Source organism: Homo sapiens, chromosome 19 (genome assembly GCF_000001405.40).
Source record: "Homo sapiens chromosome 19, GRCh38.p14 Primary Assembly".
Taxonomy (NCBI): domain Eukaryota; kingdom Metazoa; phylum Chordata; class Mammalia; order Primates; family Hominidae; genus Homo; species Homo sapiens.
In genome coordinates this window covers 2,770,869-2,792,836 of record NC_000019.10, presented here as the reverse complement: position 1 = coordinate 2,792,836, position 21,968 = coordinate 2,770,869, and the positions used below count along the sequence as shown (strand labels likewise).

General features: G+C 55.7%; 2 protein-coding genes across 4 annotated transcripts in view, besides 8 other annotated features; one reads left to right on the top strand and one right to left on the bottom strand.

Moving 5' to 3' along the window:
• Nucleotides 1–7,334, bottom strand: part of THOP1 (thimet oligopeptidase 1) — a 30,305-nt gene extending 22,971 nt beyond the window's left edge. For both annotated transcript variants that reach the window (NM_003249.5, XM_047439299.1), the window contains exons 1-2: nt 7,159–7,334; nt 2,204–2,416 (exon numbers count right to left, since the gene is read on the bottom strand). In NM_003249.5, the coding sequence (NP_003240.1) occupies nt 2,204–2,416; nt 7,159–7,174 (229 nt within the window). In that variant the 5' untranslated portion in view covers nt 7,175–7,334. The remainder of the gene's footprint in view (nt 1–2,203; nt 2,417–7,158) is intronic.
• Nucleotides 3,075–3,364: an enhancer, noted in NCBI's record as "active region_13720". NCBI's record gives its function as "activates an Ori minimal core promoter by ATAC-STARR-seq in GM12878 lymphoblastoid cells {active_cell/tissue: GM12878}" and the evidence as "EXISTENCE:reporter gene assay evidence [ECO:0000049][PMID:35858748]".
• Nucleotides 5,017–5,543: an enhancer, noted in NCBI's record as "H3K4me1 hESC enhancer chr19:2787292-2787818 (GRCh37/hg19 assembly coordinates)". NCBI's record gives its function as "activates a minimal SCP1, AML or CMV promoter by ChIP-STARR-seq in primed H9 embryonic stem cells {active_cell/tissue: H9 hESC(primed)}" and the evidence as "EXISTENCE:reporter gene assay evidence [ECO:0000049][PMID:30033119]".
• Nucleotides 5,544–6,070: an enhancer, noted in NCBI's record as "H3K4me1 hESC enhancer chr19:2786765-2787291 (GRCh37/hg19 assembly coordinates)". NCBI's record gives its function as "activates a minimal SCP1, AML or CMV promoter by ChIP-STARR-seq in naive H9 embryonic stem cells {active_cell/tissue: H9 hESC(naive)}" and the evidence as "EXISTENCE:reporter gene assay evidence [ECO:0000049][PMID:30033119]".
• Nucleotides 7,048–7,507: a silencer, noted in NCBI's record as "silent region_9810". NCBI's record gives its function as "represses an Ori minimal core promoter by ATAC-STARR-seq in GM12878 lymphoblastoid cells {active_cell/tissue: GM12878}" and the evidence as "EXISTENCE:reporter gene assay evidence [ECO:0000049][PMID:35858748]".
• Nucleotides 7,538–7,647: a silencer, noted in NCBI's record as "silent region_9809". NCBI's record gives its function as "represses an Ori minimal core promoter by ATAC-STARR-seq in GM12878 lymphoblastoid cells {active_cell/tissue: GM12878}" and the evidence as "EXISTENCE:reporter gene assay evidence [ECO:0000049][PMID:35858748]".
• Nucleotides 9,133–9,202: an enhancer, noted in NCBI's record as "active region_13719". NCBI's record gives its function as "activates an Ori minimal core promoter by ATAC-STARR-seq in GM12878 lymphoblastoid cells {active_cell/tissue: GM12878}" and the evidence as "EXISTENCE:reporter gene assay evidence [ECO:0000049][PMID:35858748]".
• SGTA (small glutamine rich tetratricopeptide repeat co-chaperone alpha) overlaps nt 9,564–21,968 on the top strand; it is a 28,559-nt gene continuing 16,154 nt past the window's right edge. Inside the window, exons 1-2 of one of the 2 annotated variants that reach the window (XM_011528178.4) lie at nt 9,564–9,604; nt 10,090–10,267. The gene's annotated coding sequence lies outside the window, so the exon portion shown is untranslated. The remainder of the gene's footprint in view (nt 9,605–10,089; nt 10,268–21,968) is intronic. The other variant, NM_003021.4, reaches the window with a different exon arrangement.
• Nucleotides 9,593–9,642: a silencer, noted in NCBI's record as "silent region_9808". NCBI's record gives its function as "represses an Ori minimal core promoter by ATAC-STARR-seq in GM12878 lymphoblastoid cells {active_cell/tissue: GM12878}" and the evidence as "EXISTENCE:reporter gene assay evidence [ECO:0000049][PMID:35858748]".
• Nucleotides 10,699–10,798: an enhancer, noted in NCBI's record as "active region_13718". NCBI's record gives its function as "activates an Ori minimal core promoter by ATAC-STARR-seq in GM12878 lymphoblastoid cells {active_cell/tissue: GM12878}" and the evidence as "EXISTENCE:reporter gene assay evidence [ECO:0000049][PMID:35858748]".

Here is a 21,968-nt window from a genome sequence, read left to right as displayed (position 1 = left end):
AGTTTAAAAAAACAAATTAGCCAGGCACGGTGGCACACACTTGTGCTCTCAGCTACTTAGAAGGCTGAGGCAGGAGGATCGCTTGAGCCTGGGAGGTTGAGGCTGCAGTGAGCCATGACAGCACCATGCACTCCAACCTGGGTGACAGAGCGAGACTCATTCTAAAAAAACAAAAAACAAACAAAAAAAAACCCTAATAATAATAATTTTTTTTAAAAAAAAGCATATACTTTGCAGCAGAAAGACCTGAATTCAAATTGCAGTCTGGCCACTACCTCAGTTCTGGGTCAACAGAAATGTCCCCAGGCCTCGGTATGTTTGGAGGAGGCTCCGCACGTCTGGAGGAGGCTCCGTGTGTTTAGAGGGGGGGTGGGCTGGGCACGGTGGCTCATGCCTGTAATCCCCACACTTTTGGAGGCCAAGGCAGGCAGGAAGCTTGAGCTCAGGAGTTCTAGACCAGCCTGGGCAATATAGCAAGACCTCATCTCTACCAAAAATTAAAGATGGCTTGAGCCTGGGAGATGGAGGCTGCAGTGAGCCATGATCACACTACTGCACTACAGCAGCCTGGGTGACAGAGCAAGACCCTGTCTCAAAAAAACAACAAAAAAGCCTGTAGTGGGGGCTCTGGGCCAGGCCTGACGCTAGGGCTGAAGACAGAAAGAAAATCAGCTCTGTCCTCTCGGGATTTACGGGCGACCGATTAGACAAGTGACCGCAGGGACGACAGTGTCAGTACCGTGCAGGGACTAATCCAGGCAGCTGGCATGGGGACAGGAGGAGGAGGAAGGGCTCCTGGGCGAAGTGGACTTAATCTGTGATCAGAGAGAAGCCAGGCATTCAGCAGAGCACAGGGCGAGGGGCGCGAGGGGCCGGCTGGAGAGGCCCTGGCTGGGGGAGGGTGCCAGGCACGAGGAGACTGGGTGTCCAGGCACAGACGGTGCAGGGCGCTGAAGACCACACCGAGGATGCTGGGCGTCACCCTGAGGGAAGCGGAAAGGCCCCGAGGGGAGCACTGGGGCCGAATTCAGTTTCCTTTAATGCTAGTCTCGCCACCATGTGAAGGAGGAGAGGAAAGGCCGCAGGAGGGGAAGGTGGGGCACGGGCGGGGGAAATGATGCCTGGCACCGCTGGGCGCCATAAGAGGGAACTGGTATCACCTGAGCCTCATGAGACTCCTACGGGAGGGACAAGGGGCCACCACGTGGCCGAGGAGGGGAAACCGAGGTCATACGGGCTCTAAGCCACTTGTCGGAAGCCAGAGGGAGTGGGAAGAGGGTCAGGATTCCAATCAGGGGCTGCGGGACCTGCAGGCTTGGGGTGCTTGCGGAGCTTCAGCCCTCCCTCCAGCCCCTGGCCCAGACAACAAACCCTCTGGAGGCCTCATGGCATGGGCCACGGAGGCCAACCCTTTCAGGGGATGCCTTGGAACACGAGAGAAGCCCTGGGCTTGAACTCAAGGATTCTCGATGGTTCCCAGCAAAAAGGCCTTCCGCTAGATGGAAGGGTGGGGAGTTGCCTCACTCAGAGCTCTCTGCGGAGACTCTCTGGGTCTCTTGGTCAGGCAGGTACACTGTCAGCCTTAGGCAGAGCTCGGGAAGCAGTGTCCCTAACCCCTGTCACTAGGCACCTCACTCCTCACCGTGAGCACAGGGACCCCAAGGAGAGGAGGAGGATCGGGCTGAGGGTGAGGAGGACGCCCGAGGACATGAGGTCACCCCCGCCGGAGGGCGCAGAGGCAGAAGCCAAGGGGGCCAAGTTCAGTCATTCAGAGAGAAACAAATACCCGCCTTCCCGGGCCAGGGAAAGAGGCCAGACGGGGTCAGGGTTCAAGGCTGCTGGCTCTGGGAGAGGCTGGAGAGGCGTGCTGTTTAGACATATTTTCTCATCTCCGGCTCTCAGATCACACAACCAGGGAGTCCTTTGAATGGACGAGGCTGTGAAGCAGAGCGGAGCACGGGAGGAACTGCCTCTCTCCTACACCTCTAGTGACCAGCACCTGCCAGACGCTTCCGCCCAGCCATCTGATTTAGCCACCACGACCAGCCTGGGAGCAGGTGGCGCTGCCCTGTGCTCAGGGGCAGGGTGCTGGTGACACTTCAAGCCAGGTTCTGAACCGGCTCCACGGGCTGGGCTACTCCCGCCTGCGGTGCCACCTCCCTCGGCACCTGCGGCCCACGCACAGACCCTGCCTGGGACTTACCTGTGTAGGTGACCTCCACATCGGCCAGCGCCTTGAGCGTGCTCTCGTAGGACACGTCCTCAAACTCCTGGGTGCCAACCTGGTCATACACGCGCTTGGTCTGCTCGATGAGCTCCCTGGTGCGCTCCTCTATCTGCTGGGCACTCAGGTCCCACCGCAGGTCGTTTACCACAGAGCACGGAGATGCTGCGTCCGCCATGTCTCCTGCACAGGCTACGCAGAAACAAAACCCAGTGCCGGGCGGGTCTGCTTTCGGTTCAGTTAGGGTCAAAGTCAGGAGGGCAGAGGGAAAGGAAGGGATCACCCGCTTCTCATCCAGAAGAGTGAGGTCCAGGGCTCTTGTAGGGAAGCACAGACTGACCAGTCCTCTAGAGCAGGAGGCTACTCTGCCATCAATCCCATCCAGGGAACCCTGGGTGACATCTAGGACACATGTGGCTGTCGCGGTTGCAGATGCTCCTGGCGTGGAGTGGGTGGAGGCCAGGGATCCTGCTTAGTACCCTGCAGTGACCAGGACGGCCCCAGCAGAGAACGATCAGCCCGGAATAGAGATGATACTGCTGTTAAAAATCCCCCTGCCCGGCCAGGCTTGGTGGCTCACGCCTGTAATCCCAGCACTTTGGGAGGCCGAGACAGGCAGATCACGAGGTCAGGAGTTTGAGACCAGCCTGAACAATATGGTGAAACCCCATCTGTACCAAAAATACAAAAATTAGCTGGGCGTGGTGGCACGCATGCCTGTAATCCCAGCTACTCAGGAGGCTGAGGCAGGAGAATTGCTTGAACCCGGGAGGTGGAGGTTGCAGTGAGCCAAGATCGCGCCACTGCACTCCAGCCTGGGCGACAGAACGAGACTCCATCTCAAAGAGAAAAAAAAAAAATCCCCCTGCCCTAGAGTGGAGACACCATGCACAGATCAGCCTGTACAAACCCCTGGGTGTTCACAAAAGGGGAAGTCCAGGACCACCCACGCACTGCTCAACTCCTGCCATGCCAGAGGGGAAAGGTGAGGTATCGGGGGGTTTTCGGGAGGAGTCCCTTCTTCTGTCTGCTTCTTCCACACCCCACACCCAGTGGGGGGAACAAGCAGGCCTCCATTCATGAACTCAACAAGAAAGTCAGCCTGGCGTGTGGTCGTGCCAGACCCACAGGTGCTACGGGCGAGTCATATGTGGCCCGGCCACTCACACCAGGGCCTCTCTGAGAAACGGGTAAATGGAGCCTGAAAACAAGAATGGCAGGCGGGGGCTCCTGGCAGCGAGAGCAGCTGCGGGAAGGGCGACTATGTGAAGTCAGTGCGGCTCGGCACAGAGAAGGTGGCAAAACCACCTGGAAACACCTAACCGTGCAGGGCCCAGGGGGCCAGCAAACAGTTCTGCAGAGGGTCCAGGGGGCCAGCAAACAGTTCTGCAGAGGACCCAGGGGACCAGCAAACAGTTCTGCAGAGGACCCAGGGGGCCAACAAACAGTTCTGCAAAGGGCCAAGGATTTTCAGCTTTGTGGGCCACATATGGTTTCTGTCTCATCCAAAAATCATCTTCAGTTCCAGGGGTGTACAAAAATAGGCAGGCCTGGCCAGGTACGGTGGCTCACGCCTGTAATCCCAGCACTTTGGGAGGCCAAGGCAGGCGGATCACTTGAGGTCAGGAGTTCGAGACCAGCCTGGACAACATGGTGAAACCCCGTCTCTACTAAAAATACAAAAATTAGCCAGGTGTGGTGGTGCGGGCTTGTAATCCTAGCTACTCTGGAGGCCGAGACAGGAAAATCGCTTGAACCCAGGAGCCAGAGGTTGCAGTGAACTGAGATTGCACCACTGCACTCTAGCCTAGGCGACAAAGCAAGACTCCATCTTGGCCGGATGCTGTGGCTTGTGCCTGTAATCCCAACACTTTGGGAGGCCAAGGCGGGTGGATCACCTGAGGCTAGGAGTTCAAGACCAGTGTGGCCAGCATGGAGAAACCCCGTCTCTACTAAAAATACAAAAATTAGCTGGGTGTGGTGGCAGGCACCTGTAATCCTAGCTGCTCAGGAGGCTGAGGCAGGAGAACCGCTTGGACCTGGGAGGTGGAGGGTGCAGTGAGCTGAGATCGTAGCACTGCACTCCAGCCTGGGCAACAAGAGTGAAACTCCGTCTCAAAAAAAATAGGCAGGCTGGAGTTTGCCAACTCCTGGTGTAGATGACAATGAAGGCTTTGAACTTCAATCCTGAGTGCAAGGTGGAGCCCTGGAAAGGGACAGGAAGGGGATGGGACAGTGGCACTAACAATCAGATGTGCATTTTTACAAAGGCTGGGGCAGGCACAACAAGCTAGCTCAGAACGCAGAAGCTGAAGTCAGATGGCCTGGGTGCGGACCCCACCTCTGCCAGTTGCTAGTTCTGGGATTCTGGCAAGAAACATTAACTCTCAGGCTTCCCACCTGCAAAACGGGAACAATTCAGGGTGCAGAGAACAAGAACTGTCTAAGAATTCAGTGAGGTATGAAGGCAAAACATCTTGTATCCTGAATACCACCAGAAAGTTTTCAAGAGGTAGCTGTTATTACAGACCATGCTCTCCTGTCCAAAAAGTCTTGGGGCCGGGGACATTTTAACATTCAGAATTTCCCCCCATTGTAGAACAGTATTAATAGAGTCCAAGTGCCATGTATTCCAAATCACTAGGGAGGCTGAGGCAGCACTCCGAAATCAAATTACTCTTTCTGCAGTGAGATGCAGGAATACGCACCAGGGTGTCTCTCTGTCTGCACTGTGGCCATTGGGGCCGGATCGTTTTCTGGGGTGGAGCTGTCCTGGGCACTGCAGGGTGCTGAGCAGCGTCCCCGGCCTCCATCCATTCCATACCAGGAGCGCCCCCCAACTGTGACAACCACAAATGTCCCCAGACACCGTCCAGTGTCCCCAGAGGTAGCACAATCACCCCAGCTGAGAATCAATGATATTCGCTAAGTGGGAAAAAGAAAGGCTCTCAGTCGGTCAGTTGAGGTCATTTTCTGGCCAAATGACTTTGCTGTAAACTTAAGGCAAACCTTTCAGTTTACAGAGTATTTAGGATTTTAGAACTGCAAAAAAGGGACTGTGGATCTACATTAAACCGTGGGGTAAAGAAGAGCTTCAGGGGCTCAGAAAGGATGGAGATGGATGGGAACTGGAACTGTCAGAAAATTCTCCTGCAGGAGTTAGGATTTGAAAAACTTGTGGACGTCAGTTCATCCTGTAAATATTTACTGATTGTGCCAAGGATCCAGTAGCAAACAAGGCAGACAACATTCCTTCCTTCCCAAGGCCTGAATATCCCTGACTATCATTATTACAATTATCACCCTCATCGCAATGGGCTGGACAAAGAGCTGGGGGAGTGTGGCTGGGCAAGAGAAAAGCCAAGGATCAGGCAAGGAGTTGCTTCAACAACCTGAGTGACCTTCTAAAACCCAGGCCGGGCACGGTGGCTCATGCCTGTAATCCCAGCACTTTCGGAGGTCGAAGCAGACGGATCACTTGAGGTCAGAAGTTCGAGACCACCCTGGCCAAGATGGTGAAACCCCATCTCTACTAATAATACAAAAATTAGCCAGGTGTGACGGGCGTGGTGACTCACGCCTGTAATCCCAGCACTTTGGGAGGCCGAGGCGGGTGGATCACGAGGTCAGGAGATGGAGATCATCCTGGCTAGCACCGTCTCTACTAAAAATACAAAAAAAATTAGCTGGGCGTGGTGGCAGGCGCCTGTAGTCCCAGCTACTCAGGAGGCTGAGGCAGGAGAATGGCGTGAACCTGGGAGGCGGAGCTTGCAGTGAGCCGAGATCGCGCCACTGCACTCCAGCCTGGGTGACGGACCAAGACTCTATCTCCAAAAAAAAAAAAAAATTAGCCAGGTGTGGTGGTGGGCGCCTGAAATCCCAGCTGCTTGGGAGGCTGAAGCAGCATAGCTTGAACCCGGGAGGCGGAGGTTGCGGTGAGCCTGTGTGAGCAGAGATTGCACCACTACACCCCAGCCTGGGAGACACAGACTGTCTCAAAAAATAAACCAACAAATAAATAAATAAACAGTACACAGGTCACATCGCCCCTTTGCCTCTAAATTAAAAGGGTCTTGGCTGGGTACAGTGGCTCATGTCTGTAATCCCAGCACTTTGGGAGGCCGAGGCAGGTGGATTGCTTGAACCCAGGACTTCAAGACCAGCCTGGGCAACATGGCGAAACCTCGTTTCTACAAAAAATTAGCCAAGTGTGGTGGTGCAGGCCTGTAGTCCCAGTTACTCAGGTGGCTGAGGCGGGAGGATTGACTGAGTCCAAGAGTTCGAGGCTGCAGGGAGTCGTGATCGCACCACTGCACTCCCGCTTGGGAGACAAAGTAAATAAATAACAAAATTAAAAGGTCCCCTCGTTACGTTCCAGCCAAACTGACTTTCTGCTCTCCAAACACGTTCCCTCCTCCCGGGACGCCTCCTTCCCCGGTCTTGGCAGGACACTTGCTTCTCCCAATCAAGCAAGTCGACGCTCACCTCTTCAGAAAAGCCCCCCAGGAACCACCCTCTCTCTAAAAACGTGTCCCTGGGACTGCCCCGTTCGTGTTTATCTGCACCAGAGCACCGATCCCTCCCTATCTTCGATCCTCTCTTATTTAATTTTTGAATGTCTGTCTGTGGCTCTAGAATTCCAGGAAAACGGGACTGGAGTCGTTAAATCACGGCCTCCCCAGGGTCCGCCACGGGGCCCGACCCATCCGGAAGGGAAGCGCCATCAACTTTGCAGAATGAATGAAGCGCTGGAAAAGCTGGTTCATTCATTCGGCAAACGAGAGAGCAGGGTCGTCCACCTCCCCCGCTGCCCCTCCAGCCCGGCCGAGGGTGGCTCGGGGGTCGCTTCGCTCCAGCCTTAGGCCCAAGTCGCGACCCCGGGAGGAGCGAGGGTGCAGGGGACGCCCGGGTCCGGCGAGCGGGGTAGTCGGTACCTGCGGGGGGCTTCATGGCGGGTGGGTCTGCGCCTGCGGCTCCCTCCCTCCTTCCACCTGCTACGCGTCCAGCCACCTCGGCCACTGAGGCCGCCTGCCTCGGCCCAACCGCCGCCACCGCCGCCACGGCCGCCTGAGGACCAAGGGGCCCGCCGCCCGCGCTCCCGGGGCATGCTGGGGCGGCGCGCGCACAGGGAGGGCAGGACGCACGCGCCCCTGAGCCCCGCCCACAGCTAAAGGAGGAGGGCCGGGAGTGCGCTGGAGCCCTCTGCGCACTCGCCGTAACCCTCCCGGTCCGTTATTGGTCTCGGCGGTGCGTGGGCGGAGCCTCTTGCTCTACCATTCCAGAGCCGCTGGGGTGGCTAGGACGGACGGTTTCCTTGGAAACCGCGCACGCCGCTGACGCCTCTGAGCCTCTGCGCGGCTCATTGCGCTGAGACTTCGCTTGGGCTTCAGGCTACCGCGTTAATGTGTACTTGCCTCGCTTCTTATAGCTGTGTGTTGGGCCAGTGTTATTATTGATCGCTTACTGTATATCCCAGGCCCACTTTCCAGCATCTGAATCCGACGAATCAATTAAATTAACCAGAAGTTTTGGTGCTTTGGTTGTTTTTGAGACGGAGTCTCGCTCTGTCGCCCAGGCTGGAGTGCAGTAGCAGCAATCTCGGCTCACTGCAACCTCCGCCTCCCTGGTTCAAGTAATTTTCCTGCCTCAGCCTTTCCAGGAGCTGGGACTACAGGCGCCAGCCCCCACCCCGGCTAATTTTTGTATTTTTAGTAAAGAGGGGGTTTCACCATGTTGGCCAGGATGGTCTTGATCTCTTGACCTCGTGATCCGCCCGCCTCGGCCTCCCAAAGTGCTGGGATTACAGGTGTGAGCCACCGCGCCGGGCCAAGTTTTTTTTTTTTTTTTTTTTTTTGTCAGAAACAAAAGCAAGTAAACGGATTCATGTCAAATAACAGGTGTTGTGGAACAGTGCAGTAGCCTGACCTACATGCAGTGTTGTGGGTTAAAACAAAAAACATCTTGAACCATCTGTCTTGAACTGTTAGGGCACCCAGAAAAAACAATGTACTACAATTAAACTGGCAAAAACCAAAACAACCGACCTCCTTTCTTCCCTTTTTTTGTTTTTGTTTTGTTTTCTTTTGCTTTGGAGGGGCTGGAGGGAGTCTCGCTCAGTCGCCCAGGCTGGAGTGCAATGGCGCGATCTCGGCTCGCTGCAACCTCTGCCTCTCGGGTTCAAGCGATTCTCCTGTCTCAGCGTCCCGAGTAGCTGGGACTACAAATGCCCGCACCACGCCCGGCTAATTTTTGCATTTTTAGTAGATACAGGGTTTCACCGTGTTGGCCAGGCTGGTCTCGAACTCCTGACATCAAGTGATCTGCCCCCTGGCCTCCCAAAGTGCTGGGATTACAGGCGTGAGCCACCACGGCCGGCCTCACCTCCTTTATTTCTGCAAAAGAAATTAAAATAATCCACGCCATTAATCGTGCATGTATTTTGAGTAGGACGAAAATGAATTGGGAGAACATTTCTGGCAACTGTAACTTAGATGGTGATCAGTTTTCTGTCGTCCTTGGAAATGTCTCATCACATGTCTTGAGCAACACCAAGATTAATTTTACATCGGCGTTCATTTTCGCTGTTCCCTGTGCCTGGGGTCCGTTTGGACTTTCCTATCCTTGAAATCCAAATGTAAAGGATGATCTTTCCTACCCATCCCATGCGACTTAGCTCCCAGTGACAATCACACTACCTTCATTTTTTTTTTCTTAGTGTTTGCTGTGAAATTTGTTTCTCTATTTATGTACTAGTTTATTAGTTTATAGTCCGTCTACCCCAATGCAAAATAATGAGAGTAGACACTTTGCTGGTTTTTATGGCTGCTTTGCAATAAATATTGAATGAATATTAGGCACCTGCTGTCTACAAATGGCTCTATACTCACAAACGTCTCACACTGCATGAAAGAATGCATTTGTGGGTGAGTAGATGGGTGGGTGAATAAATGAACAAAGATAGTAAGCGGGTAACACTGACTCCCATTCATTGCGCAGCTGTGACGCTCTGGAGTCCAGGTGTCCAAACGCGGCTGCACCACGTGGCCGGCCCAGCACCACGTGGTCAGCTCGGCGACCGGCTGGAGTCAGCCACTGTTCCACCGTGCACCGCTTCATTCCCGCTCTAGAGGGCAAACCAGACCCGATTTCCGGCCTCCATTAGGTCGCAGAGGTCAGTTGCCCTAACAACCAGCTGGTTCCCGCCTCTACGTTGCGTCACTTCCTTCCACGCCCGCCTCCATCATTAACGCGCCTGTGCAGAAGGGAAGCAACTCCGGGCGCCTTTCTTTTGCGCAGGCGTCGCGCCCTGGGGCCGGGGCCGGGCGGCACCGCGGTGCGCAAGCGCAACCGTCGGTGGGTCGGGGATCGGTCGCCTGAGAGGTGAGTGAGGGGCACTGCGCTGAGCCTGGTGGGTCTGGGGTCTGCGGCTCGGGGCCCACGGGGCCCCAAAGCTCGTAAGAGTTTGGGGATCGTGAGGCCAGGGTCACCGCGACCCGCGGGGTCCTGTGAGTAGGCGGTGCGGAGGGGAAACTGAGGCCGGGCGCCATCGGGCAGGCCCTTCGAGCCCTGATCTCCCTTCCCCAGGCCCCAGGTCCTGGAAATGCTGGTCCGCGGCCTGGTGGCGAGGACGGCGGGAGGGGAAGGCGCCCCGCATGTAGTGAGCGCTCGCTGGGTGTTCGCTGCCGTTCCGCTCTTATTAACCGCCTGGAAACGTCGTCCCTGTGACTCAGGGACCCCCGTTTGTGGGGACTGAAGTCGGAACTCTGGTTCCAGCGCCGCCAGTCCCTACCTGGGTGACCTTGCCCAGCCTCTTGGCTTCTCGGAGCCTCAGTTTTCCCCTCTGTAAAACGGGCGTTGTTCAAAAGTCCCTGCCTAGGAGAAGGAGAGCCGCAGGGTCCAGCGGAATCTGAGAACTCCAAAGAATTAGCAGGCGTTCGTCTTATATCATGTTTAGAGTCTTCTTCTGCATATCGTGCTAGAGGTGGGGGAAATCTGGGATTCAGGACCGTCCACCACCACCTCCCACCCGCTGTGTAAACCTGGGTGAGTCGCCTTCCCTCTCTGAGCAAACTGTTCCTTCTTTCGCAAACGAGTTGTAAAAGCAGATGCCTCGGAGGGTCATTATGAGGATAAACCCACATTCAATTATTTGATCAGGTGCCTGGAACTTGATAAGAGAGAGCTGGCTTGAGAATAGCTGTTTTTGTTATTAGGTGCCAGAAAATTGCAGTGTAGTGTGCCCTTCAGAGGTTGAATGATTGTCCCATTTTCTTTTGTTTCTGTCTCTGATTATTCCTTTTGTCTGCCTTTTCCCTCCCTTGACCAGTGGTTCTCAACCAGGAACAATTCTGTGCCCCAGGGATTCTTGGTGACATTTGTGCTTGTCATGATTTGGGGGACCCCCTGGTTTGGAGTTGGTGGAGGCCAGGGTTGCTGCTCGGCACCCTGCAGTACCCAGGACGGCCTCACCCCAGAAAATGATCCAGCTTTAAATGTCAATAATGCTTTAAAAACCCTACCATACGGGCTGATGACCTGAGGTCAGGAGTTCAAGACCAGCCTAGCCAACGTGGTGAAACCCCGTCTCTACTGAAAATATGAAAATTAGCTGGGCATGGTGGTGTGCACCTGTAATCCCAGCTACTCAGGAGGCTGAGGCAGGAGAATCCCTTGAACCCAGGAGGCAGAGGTTGCAGTGACCCAACATCATGCCACTGCACTCCAGCCTGGGCGACAGAGCGAGACCCTGTCAAAAATAAAAAAAAAAAATCTACCCTAGATCAGTGATTCTTCACCAGCATGGGCAGCTGGGACTGTGTGGGCCCGGGAAATCGTGTACAAAGTTTTGTGTGTGCACCCAATTTCGTGCAGAGAGAAATGGGTACTTTGGAGTTTAGCTTCTCAAGTCAGACTGCCTGGGTTCAGAACTCCTCATTTTCATCCTCGGAGCTGGGTGGTCTCGGGTGGTCCCCATCTTTCCAAGCCTCAGTTTTTCTTCTGTGGAATGGGGATTATAATAGTAACCACCTCAGGTGTGTGAGGATTAAACCAGGCAAGGTATCAGCAAACTGACCAGAAGGCCAAATCCACCTCTGGCCTGTTTTTGTGAATGAAGGTTTGTAGGAACACAGCCACACTCCTTGGTTTATGCGTTACCTGTAGTTGATTTCGAGCTAAGAAGGCACAGTTGAACAGTTGCCATAGGGAACTTAACGCCTGCAGAGCTGAAGACAATCTGGCCCTTTTCAGAAAAACCTTTGCTGACCCCTAAAATAAGCTATCGCATGTACAGCACTTAACTGGGTGCCTGGAAAGCTGTAAGCACGCCAAGGATTTGAGCTGAGGTTTATAATTAAATCTTCCTAGAAGGGTGAATGATTCCAAATGCGGGTGAGCTCTGCCCCAGATTGGAGGATCCTTGAGAGCTGTCGTCTTACTCAATTCTACATTTTTTCTTTTTTATGCCAAGACCCAACAGTGGCTCTGGTAGGAAGTGCTCAGTACAGGCTGAAGGAACAAAGGGGTGGTTTGAGATAGGGTCTTGCTCTGTCGCCCAGGCTGGAGTGCAGTGGCACAATCTCTGCTCACTGCAGCCTCGACCTCCCAGGCTCAGGCCCTCCCACCTCAGCCTCCTGAGTAGCTGGGACTACAGGTATGCACTACTACACCCAGCTAATTTTTGTATTTTGTTTTAGAGATGGGGTTTCACTGTGTTGCCCAGGCTGGTCTCAAACTCCTGGGTTCAAGTGATCCTCCACCTTGGCCTCCAGAGTTCTGTGATTACAGGCGTGCCCCACTGCACCTGGCCCGTTTTCTCTTTTACTGAGGTGGAAACAGAGACCCAGAGAGAAATGGCCTCCCCAAGGAACGTGACCATGTGGCTGTGAATTTTTCAACAATCGCAGGCTTTCCTGAGTCCATAGGGTTTAGACGCTGCCAGATGCTGGCGTTCAAAGGGAAGATGGGTCTGTCAAGAGATAGAAAGCCTTGTAAGAGATGCTGGGCCAGAGATAGGAGTTTGCAGGAATACTAGATTCTCTCCTGGCGGAGTTGGGCAGGGGAGGTGAGCACTTGAGTTTGAGTGGCATGTACAGGGTTTGGTGTAGGCCCCACAGATGACCCCCAGCTGGTGAGAGGCCTCCTATGCACACTCCTGGGGTTGCAAGGAGCAGTTGAGAGCTTTTATGTGTGCAGCGATCTCCTGGTGGCATTTTAGAAGGAAGTAGGCTTCGATGTGGGGAGTGGGCAGGAGACTGAGCTAGAACTCGGGTATCCTAAGAGGGAGTGAGGAGCAGGGCACCCGGCTCTCCTGCCCTGCTGTTGGTGAGAAGCACCGTGGATTTGGGATGGAGTTGGGCAGAGTGTTCACAGAAGGTAGTGGGTAAGAGCGGGCCCTTCCTACTGGGGTGTGAGGAGGTAAGACGACCTCAGTTTACGAGGATGTTCTATTTTTTTCCATTGAATGATCCCTTCTGGGCAGGGAAATAAGGAAGAGAGGTGGTTGTGAGTTTTTTGTTTGTTTTTAGAGACAGGGTCTCACTTTGTCACCCAGGCTGGAGTGCAGGGCCCAATCACAGCTCACTGCAGCCTCCAACTCCTGGGCTTAAACAATCCTCTCGCCTCAGCCTCCCAAGTAGCTGGGACTACTAGTGTGTGCCGCCACATCAGGCTAATTCTATTTTTTTTTTTTAGAGTCTCTTTTGTAGGGTCTCACTATACACTGTATTGCCCAAGCTGGTCTTAAACACCTGGACTCAAGCGATTCTCCCACCTCGGCCTCCCAAAGTGCTGGGATTACAGGTGTGAGCCACCGCCCCGACCGAGGTGGCTGTGTTTTGATTTTGTTTTTATTTTAATGATAAAATGAAAAGGTGGGATGTGGAGTCATCGGCTCAGAGCCGAAAGGGACGCTGAAGCCCCCAACATTGGAGCTGGCGCCACCCCCATGGGCCAGCACCCTCCCACCCTCACTTCTGCGGCCTCTGCCTTGAAACCAGGCCTCGGCCATGGCTCCTGAGCATCCATAAAGCCCTCGCTGTTGGGAGACACAGCAGGCCTTCTTTGAGATGCTGTCCCACAGCCAAACCCTACAAGTTGTGATTGTTCCAAAGACACCGAGTGCCAAACGGCAGTTGAGGAAAATGCCGTCCTCATGCTTGCTGGACCCCCCTCTGAAGAGCAGAAAACTTTCTTACGGGAAAGCCTGGCTGTTGAAGCAGATTTGAGAACCGTTTGATGATGTCCCCCACCTTGGGGACAGCAGAGAAGCCACAGGTCCTGGCACCACTGGCCTGTGTCACATGCTGGGCAGGGCCTGTGCTTCCCTTAGTTGAGCAGTCCTCCACCGTGGACCCGCAGTTCTGAAACCCAGAATAGCCTACAAGCAGAAGGTTTTCAGAAAGCTCACAGCAAAGTCATTTTGGACAGAAAAAGCTGACCTGTACTGACTTCCAGCCTTTCTTCCCACTTAGTGGCCATCAGTGATTTACAGCTGGGGGCGGTTTGGCAGTGTCTGGGGACATGTGTGGTTGTCTCAACTGGAGAGTGTTTCTGGTGTGCAGTGGGGGGAGCCAGGGGTGCTGCTCAGCCCCCTGCCGTGCGCAGGACAGAATCATCCACCCAAGATGCCCACAGTGCCACAGGCGACAGACCTGCATTAATTATTTGGGAAAAAAATTGAGCTTGCTCCTGCTCACACTGGACAGCAGAATAAACTTCTGATTGGGCAGAGGGTGGAAATCAGGGGGTCCCCAGCTCCTAGGATTCACCTCCTTGCTCCCTCTCCCCTTAGTGTGTGGATTTATTTTATCTTTTGTTTTGTTTTGTTTTGTTAGAGACAGGGCCTCACTTTGTTGCCCAAGTTGGCCTCAAACTCCTGGGCTCAAGCAATCCTCCATAGTTTGTGAATTTCAATGTGTGCAGCCTCCTGGGACCTTAGTAGAGCAAATGATCATGGGACACAGAGTCTCTTGGGGATCCGTGGCATCCCCTAGCCCAGGGTGTCTAAGCTGGGGCACTTCTGCTCAGCTCTGTCCCAGGGTAACAGGGATGGGGTAGGGTGGAGACCCTGAGGCTAAGAGGTTCTCTGGGATGTGGCGGCGGGGGCCGGGGGGGGCGGTGTTCCAGGAGGGAAAGCAGCACGTGCAAAAGCCCTGGGGTACAGAGGCACCGGCGGCACTGGAAGAGAGGAGTGTGACTCAGTGAATGCAACTCTTTCCACTTTCTGAACCCTCATTGGGTCCCTAGCCACCTGCCACCCTGTCCAGTTCTCACACCTCAGTTTAAGAGAGAAGGAAACAGGTACACCAAAGAACCAAAGATGAGATTTCTTGGTTTATTCTGTGTTAGTTCCCTGCGAAGGAACGCACATCCCCCTCCACACACACACCCCTGCCCCCCACACCCCTCAGCGTGGATCGTGCTAGGCCCTGTGTGCCTGGAATGCTAAGCCGAGTTCCAGCTGTCACTGGTAGGATCTTGCGTGTGCCACCTGTCTGGGCCTGTCACTCCCTCTGTAAGAGGGGGCTGTGACCCCCGCCTTCTAGGTTTATGCGGGGACTCAGCCAGGTCTGATTTCTTTTTTTTTTTTTTTTTTTGAGATGACGTCTTGCTTTGTCACCCAGACTGGCGTGCAGTGGTGCGATCTCAGCTCAGTGCAGTCTCCACCTCCCAGGTTCAAGCAACTCTCCTGCCTCAGCCTCCCGAGTAGCTGGGATTACAGGCACCCGCCACCACACCCGGCTAATTTTTGTATTTTTAGTAGAAGCCAGGCTGGTCAGGAACTCCAGACCACTTCAGCCTCCCAAAGTGCTGGGATTATAGGCCTGAGCCACCGCTCCTGGCCCAGGTCTTGTTTCTGCTGCTTGCTGTTGCCTCTTCCAAATCTGAGGTCACCAAGTGAGGTGTGTCTGCCTGGGGATCCTGACCTGATGCCGCCTGTTACAGAATCATTTCCAATGAAACCTCTGAAGAGATGTCGGCACCATTCTCAGCTAAAGACACCTGGTTGGGTGTGACCCTCATCTCAAAGACCCCAGACTTTGAAGAGAAACTCTTTTCTTGAGGCAGGGTCTCACTCTCTTTCCCAGGCTGGAGTGCATTGGTGTGATCACAGCTCACTGCAGCACGGACCTCCTGGGCTCAAGCGATCCTCCTGCCTCAGCCCCTCAAGCAGCTAGGGCTATAGATGTGTGCCACCACACCCAGCTAATTTTTTAATGTTTTGCAGAGATGGGGTCTCCCTATGTTGCCCAGGCTGCTCTTGAATTCCTATGCTCAAGTGATCCCCCCGCTTTGGCCTCCCGAAGTGCTGCTGGGATCACAGGTGTGAGCCACTGCGCCTGGTCTTTTTTTTTTTTTCTGAGATGGAGTTTTGCTCTTATTGCCCAGGCTGGAGTACAGTAGTGCGATCTTGGCTCACGGCAACCTCCACCTCCCGAGTTCAAGTGATTCTCCTGCCTCAGCCTCCCAAGTAGCTGGGATTACAGGCGCGCACCACTACGACCGGCTATTTTTTGTACACTGGGTTTCACCTGTTGGTCAGGCTGGTCTCGAACTCCTGATGTCAGGTGATCCGCCTGCCTCGGCTTCCCAAAGTGTTGGGATTACAGGCATGAGCCACTGTGCCCGACCAGTCTTTCTTTTTTTTTTGAGACGGAGTTTTGCTCTGCCACCCAGGCTGGAGTGCAGTGGCTCTATCGCAGCTCACTGCAGCCTCCACCTCCCGGGTTCAAGCGATTCTCCCGCCTCAGCCTCCTGAGTAGCTGGGACTACAGGTGTGCGCCACCATGATTGGCTAATTTTGTTTGCATTTTTAGTAGAGATGGGGTTTCACCATGTTGGTCTCAAACTCCTGACCTCAGGTGATCCACCTGCCTCTGCCTCCAAAAGTTCTGGGATTACAGGCGTGAGCCACCATGCCAGGCCAAAAATTACCATCTTAATCAGTTATAAATGCACAGTTCAGTGGCTTTAAGCACATTCACACAGCTATGTAGCCATCGCCACCATCATCTCCAGAAGTTTCTCATCTCCCCAGGCTGAAATTCTGTCCCCATGAAACATTCACTCCCCAGCCCCTGGCACCCCCAATTCCACTTTTGGTCTCTGTGAATCCAACGACTCTAGGGACCGCCTAGGAGGGGAGTCACACAGGTTTTGTACCTTTGTTTCTGGCTTATTTCACTGAGTGCGACGTCCTCAAGGTCCGCCCATGTTGTAGCCTGGTCAGGATTTCCTTTTCATGGCTGCGTAGCGTTCCGTCGTGTGGCTAGGCCACATTGTGTTGATCCACTCACCTGTCCGTGGACACTTGGGCTGTTTGCTTTTGGCTATTGTAATGCTGTTGTCAAAACGTGCTTAAAAATAAAACAAAAGAAACTCCGTAAACCAAAAATCTTCACCTTTCGGGTGGCATGTGTCTGTTTTCCTTGGGCTTGGGGGTCAGGAGACCTGACTGGTTTGCTCTCTGAACCCTGTTGGCCGGGGCGGATGACGTCAGCTTTTGTGGTTTCACTTTCTGGTGGTGGTTGACTGCCGTGGGCCCTGATGTGTCGTACATGAGATCTTTGGATTCTGGGACTGGCTGCCCGCCGGCTCTAGGCAGTCCTGATCCCAGACCTCAAAGTTCTGGGCTGTCCATTGTGTCCTGAGATGGGGGCGGAAAACTCATTACCATCCCGCAGGAGCTTTCAGGAAGACCGTAACTCCCTGTCCAGCGACACAAAACACAGCTCTTGTAGATTTCTCCCCCTTTAAAACATTGAGCTGTGATTCCCACACCGCTGTGATCCCCACACCGTGAAATTCAGTGGCATTTGGTGCCTTCACAGGGTTGTGCAACCATCACCACTCTCTGGTTCCAGAGCTGTCTCATCGCCCCAAAAGGGAGCAAGGAAGCTGGTCCCCACCAGCTGTCACTCCCCTTCCCCTCCCCAAGCCCCGGCACCCACGCGTCTCCTTCCTGTCTCTGGATGGGCCTGTCCTGGACATTTCATAGAAATGGAGTCGGTGTCACACCCTGTGTGTGCTTTGGGTCTGGCTCTTTTGCTCTCTGTTTTGTTTTGTTTTTTAATGATTGCTGATGGATGTTGCTTTCCCTGAAAGGGAAACAAAGCTGTGGGCACACCCAGTGTGTCTGGGACTATGCTTGTTTAGTGGCGTGGAGGTCCACGTCGCCGGTGTCATCTGAGTCTGACGTCAGCCACTGTTTAAAGCGTGGCGGGCCAATGCCTTGCTTGTCTCTGGCGCGGGGTGGGTTATGCGGTCAGGCAGCCCACGCCTCATTTTCTAGGGGGTGGTGGCTGTTCACCTCATGTAGAGGCATTTTAGGGGAACCAAGACACTGAACGCCTCTGATCTTGAGTGTGGGGGCAGGTCAGGCGCCTGCCGGGCGCGGATCCTGCCGTGCCTGTGGCTCCAGTGGCCTTGAGTGAACACCTCCATCCCCAGTCCTGCCGCATAGGTCACTGCGCCGAGGTCATGAGACGGTGTTGTGTCAAGGGCCTGGTGCACCCACAGGCTCTTCAGGTCCTCCTCTTCTAGTCCAGCTTTCTCCCAGTGGGAGCTGTGGATGTTGAGGCCGGATCATCCTCTGGGATGGAGCCGTCCTGGGCACTCCAGGGCACTGAGCAGCGTCCCTGGCCTCCCCCCACTCCATGTGAGACAACACCAAGTGTCTCAGCACATCCATCGAGAACCGCTGGTCTGGGAGAGAGACAGAATCTGGAGAGACATGCACGCACACACACACATGCGCGCGCACACAGCTTCAGCAAAATCCAGTGGGTCAGTAGAATCCACGGCTTTCCTCAGCATTTGCCTCCTGGAGGAGGCCGGGTATGGTGGCTCACACCTGTGATCCCAGCGCTTTGGGAGGCCAGGGTGGGAGGATTGCTTGAGGCCAGGAGTTTGCCAATGTTCATGGGCAGGTATTTTACATAGTTGACGTTCTAGGTCTGCGAAGTGCTCAGGTAGGTCATCTGCATGGTTTTAATGCTTTTGGTGCCCTGCCTCTGATGCTGTCTACACGGGGATGGTTGTAGGTGAAGGCCTCTGTGTACGCGTGCACGGGTGTTAACCTACGTGTCTCGGGCCATTAGACATCTGTGCACTTAAAGTTAAAATGGACATTTGCATAGACGTGATAGGAAGTGTCGTTTTCTTATAAAAGAAGCTGCCCCTCGGGCAGCTGGCTCCTGGGACCGCAGCACAGTGAGCAACGCGCAGCTGCTCCCTCCCTCCGTGTCCCTCGGCCACCGCCCTTCACTGCTCCCTTCCGTGTGATGACAGCCCGTTTGTTCTCCTGTCTATGTGATCCTGGGCATGCGACCACGCGTCCCTGCCCAACCTGGCTCAGTTCAGCTGGAGACAGGGCCGACCCGCTTGTTGGAGTCGTCACGAGGACTGAGGTGCGTCCTGAGATGCCTGCTTGCCAGGTGTTAGTGTCGGTTTGCTGGGGCCGCGGTGACAGAGTGCCATAGACCAGGCAGCTGAAACAGAGTTCATCGTCTCTCAGTCCTGGAGGCCGGAAGTCCATGATCAAGGTTCTGTCGGGGCTCGTTCCTTGTGAGGACGTGAGGGCAATCTGGTGTCCCTGCCGTGTGGCCGCGTCACCCATCTCTGCCCTCGGTGTCCCTGCCCTGTGGCCGCGTCACCCATCTCTGCCCTCGGAGTCCCTGCCGTGTGGCCGCGTCACCCATCTCTGCCCTCGGAGTCCCTGCCGTGTGGCCGTGTCACCCACCTCTGCCCTCGGTGTCCCTGCCGTGTGGCCGCGTCACCCACCTCTGCCCTCGGTGTCCCTGCCGTGTGGCCGCGTCACCCACCTCTGCCCTCGGTGTCCCCGCCGTGTGGCCGCGTCACCCACCTCTGCCCTCGGTGTCCCCGCCGTGTGGCCGCGTCACCCATCTCTGCCCTCGGTGTCCCTGCCGTGTGGCCGCGTCACCCATCTCTGCCCTCGGTGTCCCTGCCCTGTGGCCGCGTCACCCATCTCTGCCCTCGGAGTCCCTGCCGTGTGGCCGTGTCACCCACCTCTGCCCTCGGTGTCCCTGCCGTGTGGCCGCGTCACCCACCTCTGCCCTCGGTGTCCCTGCCCTGTGGCCGCGTCACCCACCTCTGCCCTCGGTGTCCCTGCCGTGTGGCCGCGTCACCCATCTCTGCCCTCGGTGTCCCTGCCGTGTGGCCGCGTCACCCACCTCTGCCCTCGGAGTCCCTGCCGTGTGGCCGCGTCACCCACCTCTGCCCTCGGTGTCCCTGCCGTGTGGCCGCGTCACCCACCTCTGCCCTCGGTGTCCCCGCCGTGTGGCCGCGTCACCCATCTCTGCCCTCGGTGTCCCTGCCCTGTGGCCGCGTCACCCATCTCTGCCCTCGGTGTCCCTGCCGTGTGGCCGCGTCACCCATCTCTGCCCTCGGTGTCCCTGCCGTGTGGCCGCGTCACCCACCTCTGCCCTCGGAGTCCCTGCCGTGTGGCCGCGTCACCCACCTCTGCCCTCGGTGTCCCTGCCGTGTGGCCGCGTCACCCACCTCTGCCCTCGGTGTCCCTGCCGTGTGGCCGCGTCACCCATCTCTGCCCTCGGTGTCCCTGCCGTGTGGCCGCGTCACCCACCTCTGCCCTCGGAGTCCCTGCCGTGTGGCTGCGTCACCCACCTCTGCCCTCGGTGTCCCTGCCGTGTGGCCGCGTCACCCACCTCTGCCCTCGGTGTCCCTGCCCTGTGGCCGCGTCACCCATTTCTGCCCTCGGTGTCCCTGCCCTGTGGCCGCGTCACCCACCTCTGCCCTCGGTGTCCCTGCCCTGTGGCCGCGTCACCCATCTCTGCCCTCGGTGTCCCTGCCGTGTGGCCGCGTCACCCATTTCTGCCTTCACATCCACACAGTGTTCTCCCTGTGCATGCGTCTGCATCCAAATGTCCCCTTTTTATAAGGACATTGGTTATTGCTCTAGGGACCCGCCGTACACTGGTATGATGTCATCTTACCAAATTCTGTCCGCCAAGATCTTATTTCCAGGTGAGGTCGCATTCCAAGGTCCTGGCAGTTAGGACTTCAGTGTATGGATTTGGGGGACACAGTTCAGCACACGACAGTATTCAGCCCCTGGAGCCGCCTGTCAGCGTGGCTGCGCGCAGAGGGTCCCTGGGGCCCAGCTGGGGAGTGGGACCTGGCGGCAGAGACCCCTTGCACTGTGCTGGCTCAGAAGGAGGAGCCGTGGCCTCCTGGGTGCTGGGTCAGAGTTTCCTTGTAGGTGTTTGTGGCTTTAGTCACTTCTTGGAGAGCAGATCTGGGCACAGAGCAGAGAAGAATAAGAAATTATCCAGAGGCAGCTGTCACTGTAGAAGATTCCTTCAGGCCTCGCCCTTCCTCGTCCATCCCGAGGCTGGCGGCCTCTTGGCCAGGCCCTGTCTGACCCAGCCTGAATCCGAGCGTCTGATCTCAAACCTGTGCTTCTCCTCACGGTGGTTCCCCAGCTCCTGAGGCCTCAGGCCTGCCCCTTGCCTCATGCGTCTTGGCACACAGAGTGCAACTAAGAATAAGGTCCACTATGCACGGGCTGGGCCCGGCCCCGGAGGAAGGCCGGTGACACACAGCCCCGCCACCCTGTATGTCAGCCAGTGAGGGACAGAGATGGGGAAGACCCAGCTGCTCAGAGACACCAGAGGCCCTGGACAGGGAGTGGATTCCAGGGAAGGCGGCTGCCCAGCCCAGCCCGGAAGGAGCAGGTGGAGAAGGGAGGCCCAGCCAAGGGAACCTCATCGCAAGAACAGAGGATGGGGGTCCCATCCCACGGCCAGGGCCTCCCCAAGGGCTGCCCCTCCATGCGCCAGCACCACAGCAACCCCTCTCCATGCCTGCTTCTGGCCTCAGAGCAGGTTCTCCAAATGCTCCCAGTGAAACTGCACAGCCGGGCAGCGTTTCTGGAATAGCCTCAGCATGTGTTGATCTGGACACGGAGGGTGCACCAGCACCCGTCCACGTACCTGCCTGTGTGGGGGTGTTCACTCAGCGTTGTGCACGCCTGGTCTCGTACCCCTCCCCCCCCCCCCGATGGGGAGGTGCTGTCGCCATCCATGGGGGACAGAAGAGGAAACTGAGGCTCAGCAGAGTTAAGTCGCTTCCCCTAGGTCACACTGCCAAAAACAGCCAACCGAGGTCTATGCCACGAGACTCACCACGAGGAATCATGATTTTTTTTTTTTGACATGGAGTCTCACTCTGTTGCCAGGCTGGAGTGCAGTGGTGTGATCTCAGCTCACTGCAACCTCCAACTCCCTGGTTCAAGTGATTCTCCTGCCTCAGCCTCCCGAGTAGCTGGGATTACAGGCACGTGCCACCATGCCAGCTAATTTTTGTATTTTTAGTAGAGATGGGGTTTCACCGTGTTTGGCCAGGATGGTCTCTGTCTCCTGACCTCGTGATCTGCCTGCCTCGGCCTCCCAAAGTGCTGGGATTACAGGCGTGAGCCACCACGCCTGGCAGAATCGTGATATTAACAACAGATATCGCAGGGCGCCAAGCGCTGGGCTGACAGCTTCCGGGTTATTTTTTCCCCGACCCCTGACAGCAGCCACAATGGAGCTCCCCATTTTACAGACATGGAGGCGGAGGCTCAGGCCGAACAACCCGTCCGAGCTCACAGGCTTTGCAGGCCACGATCCGGGAACCGCCTGGCCTCTCCCTCACAACCCGGCTGGCTTAAAACAACCAAGATTGATTTCCCTCGCAGTTCTGGAGGCCAGAAGTCTGAGATGAA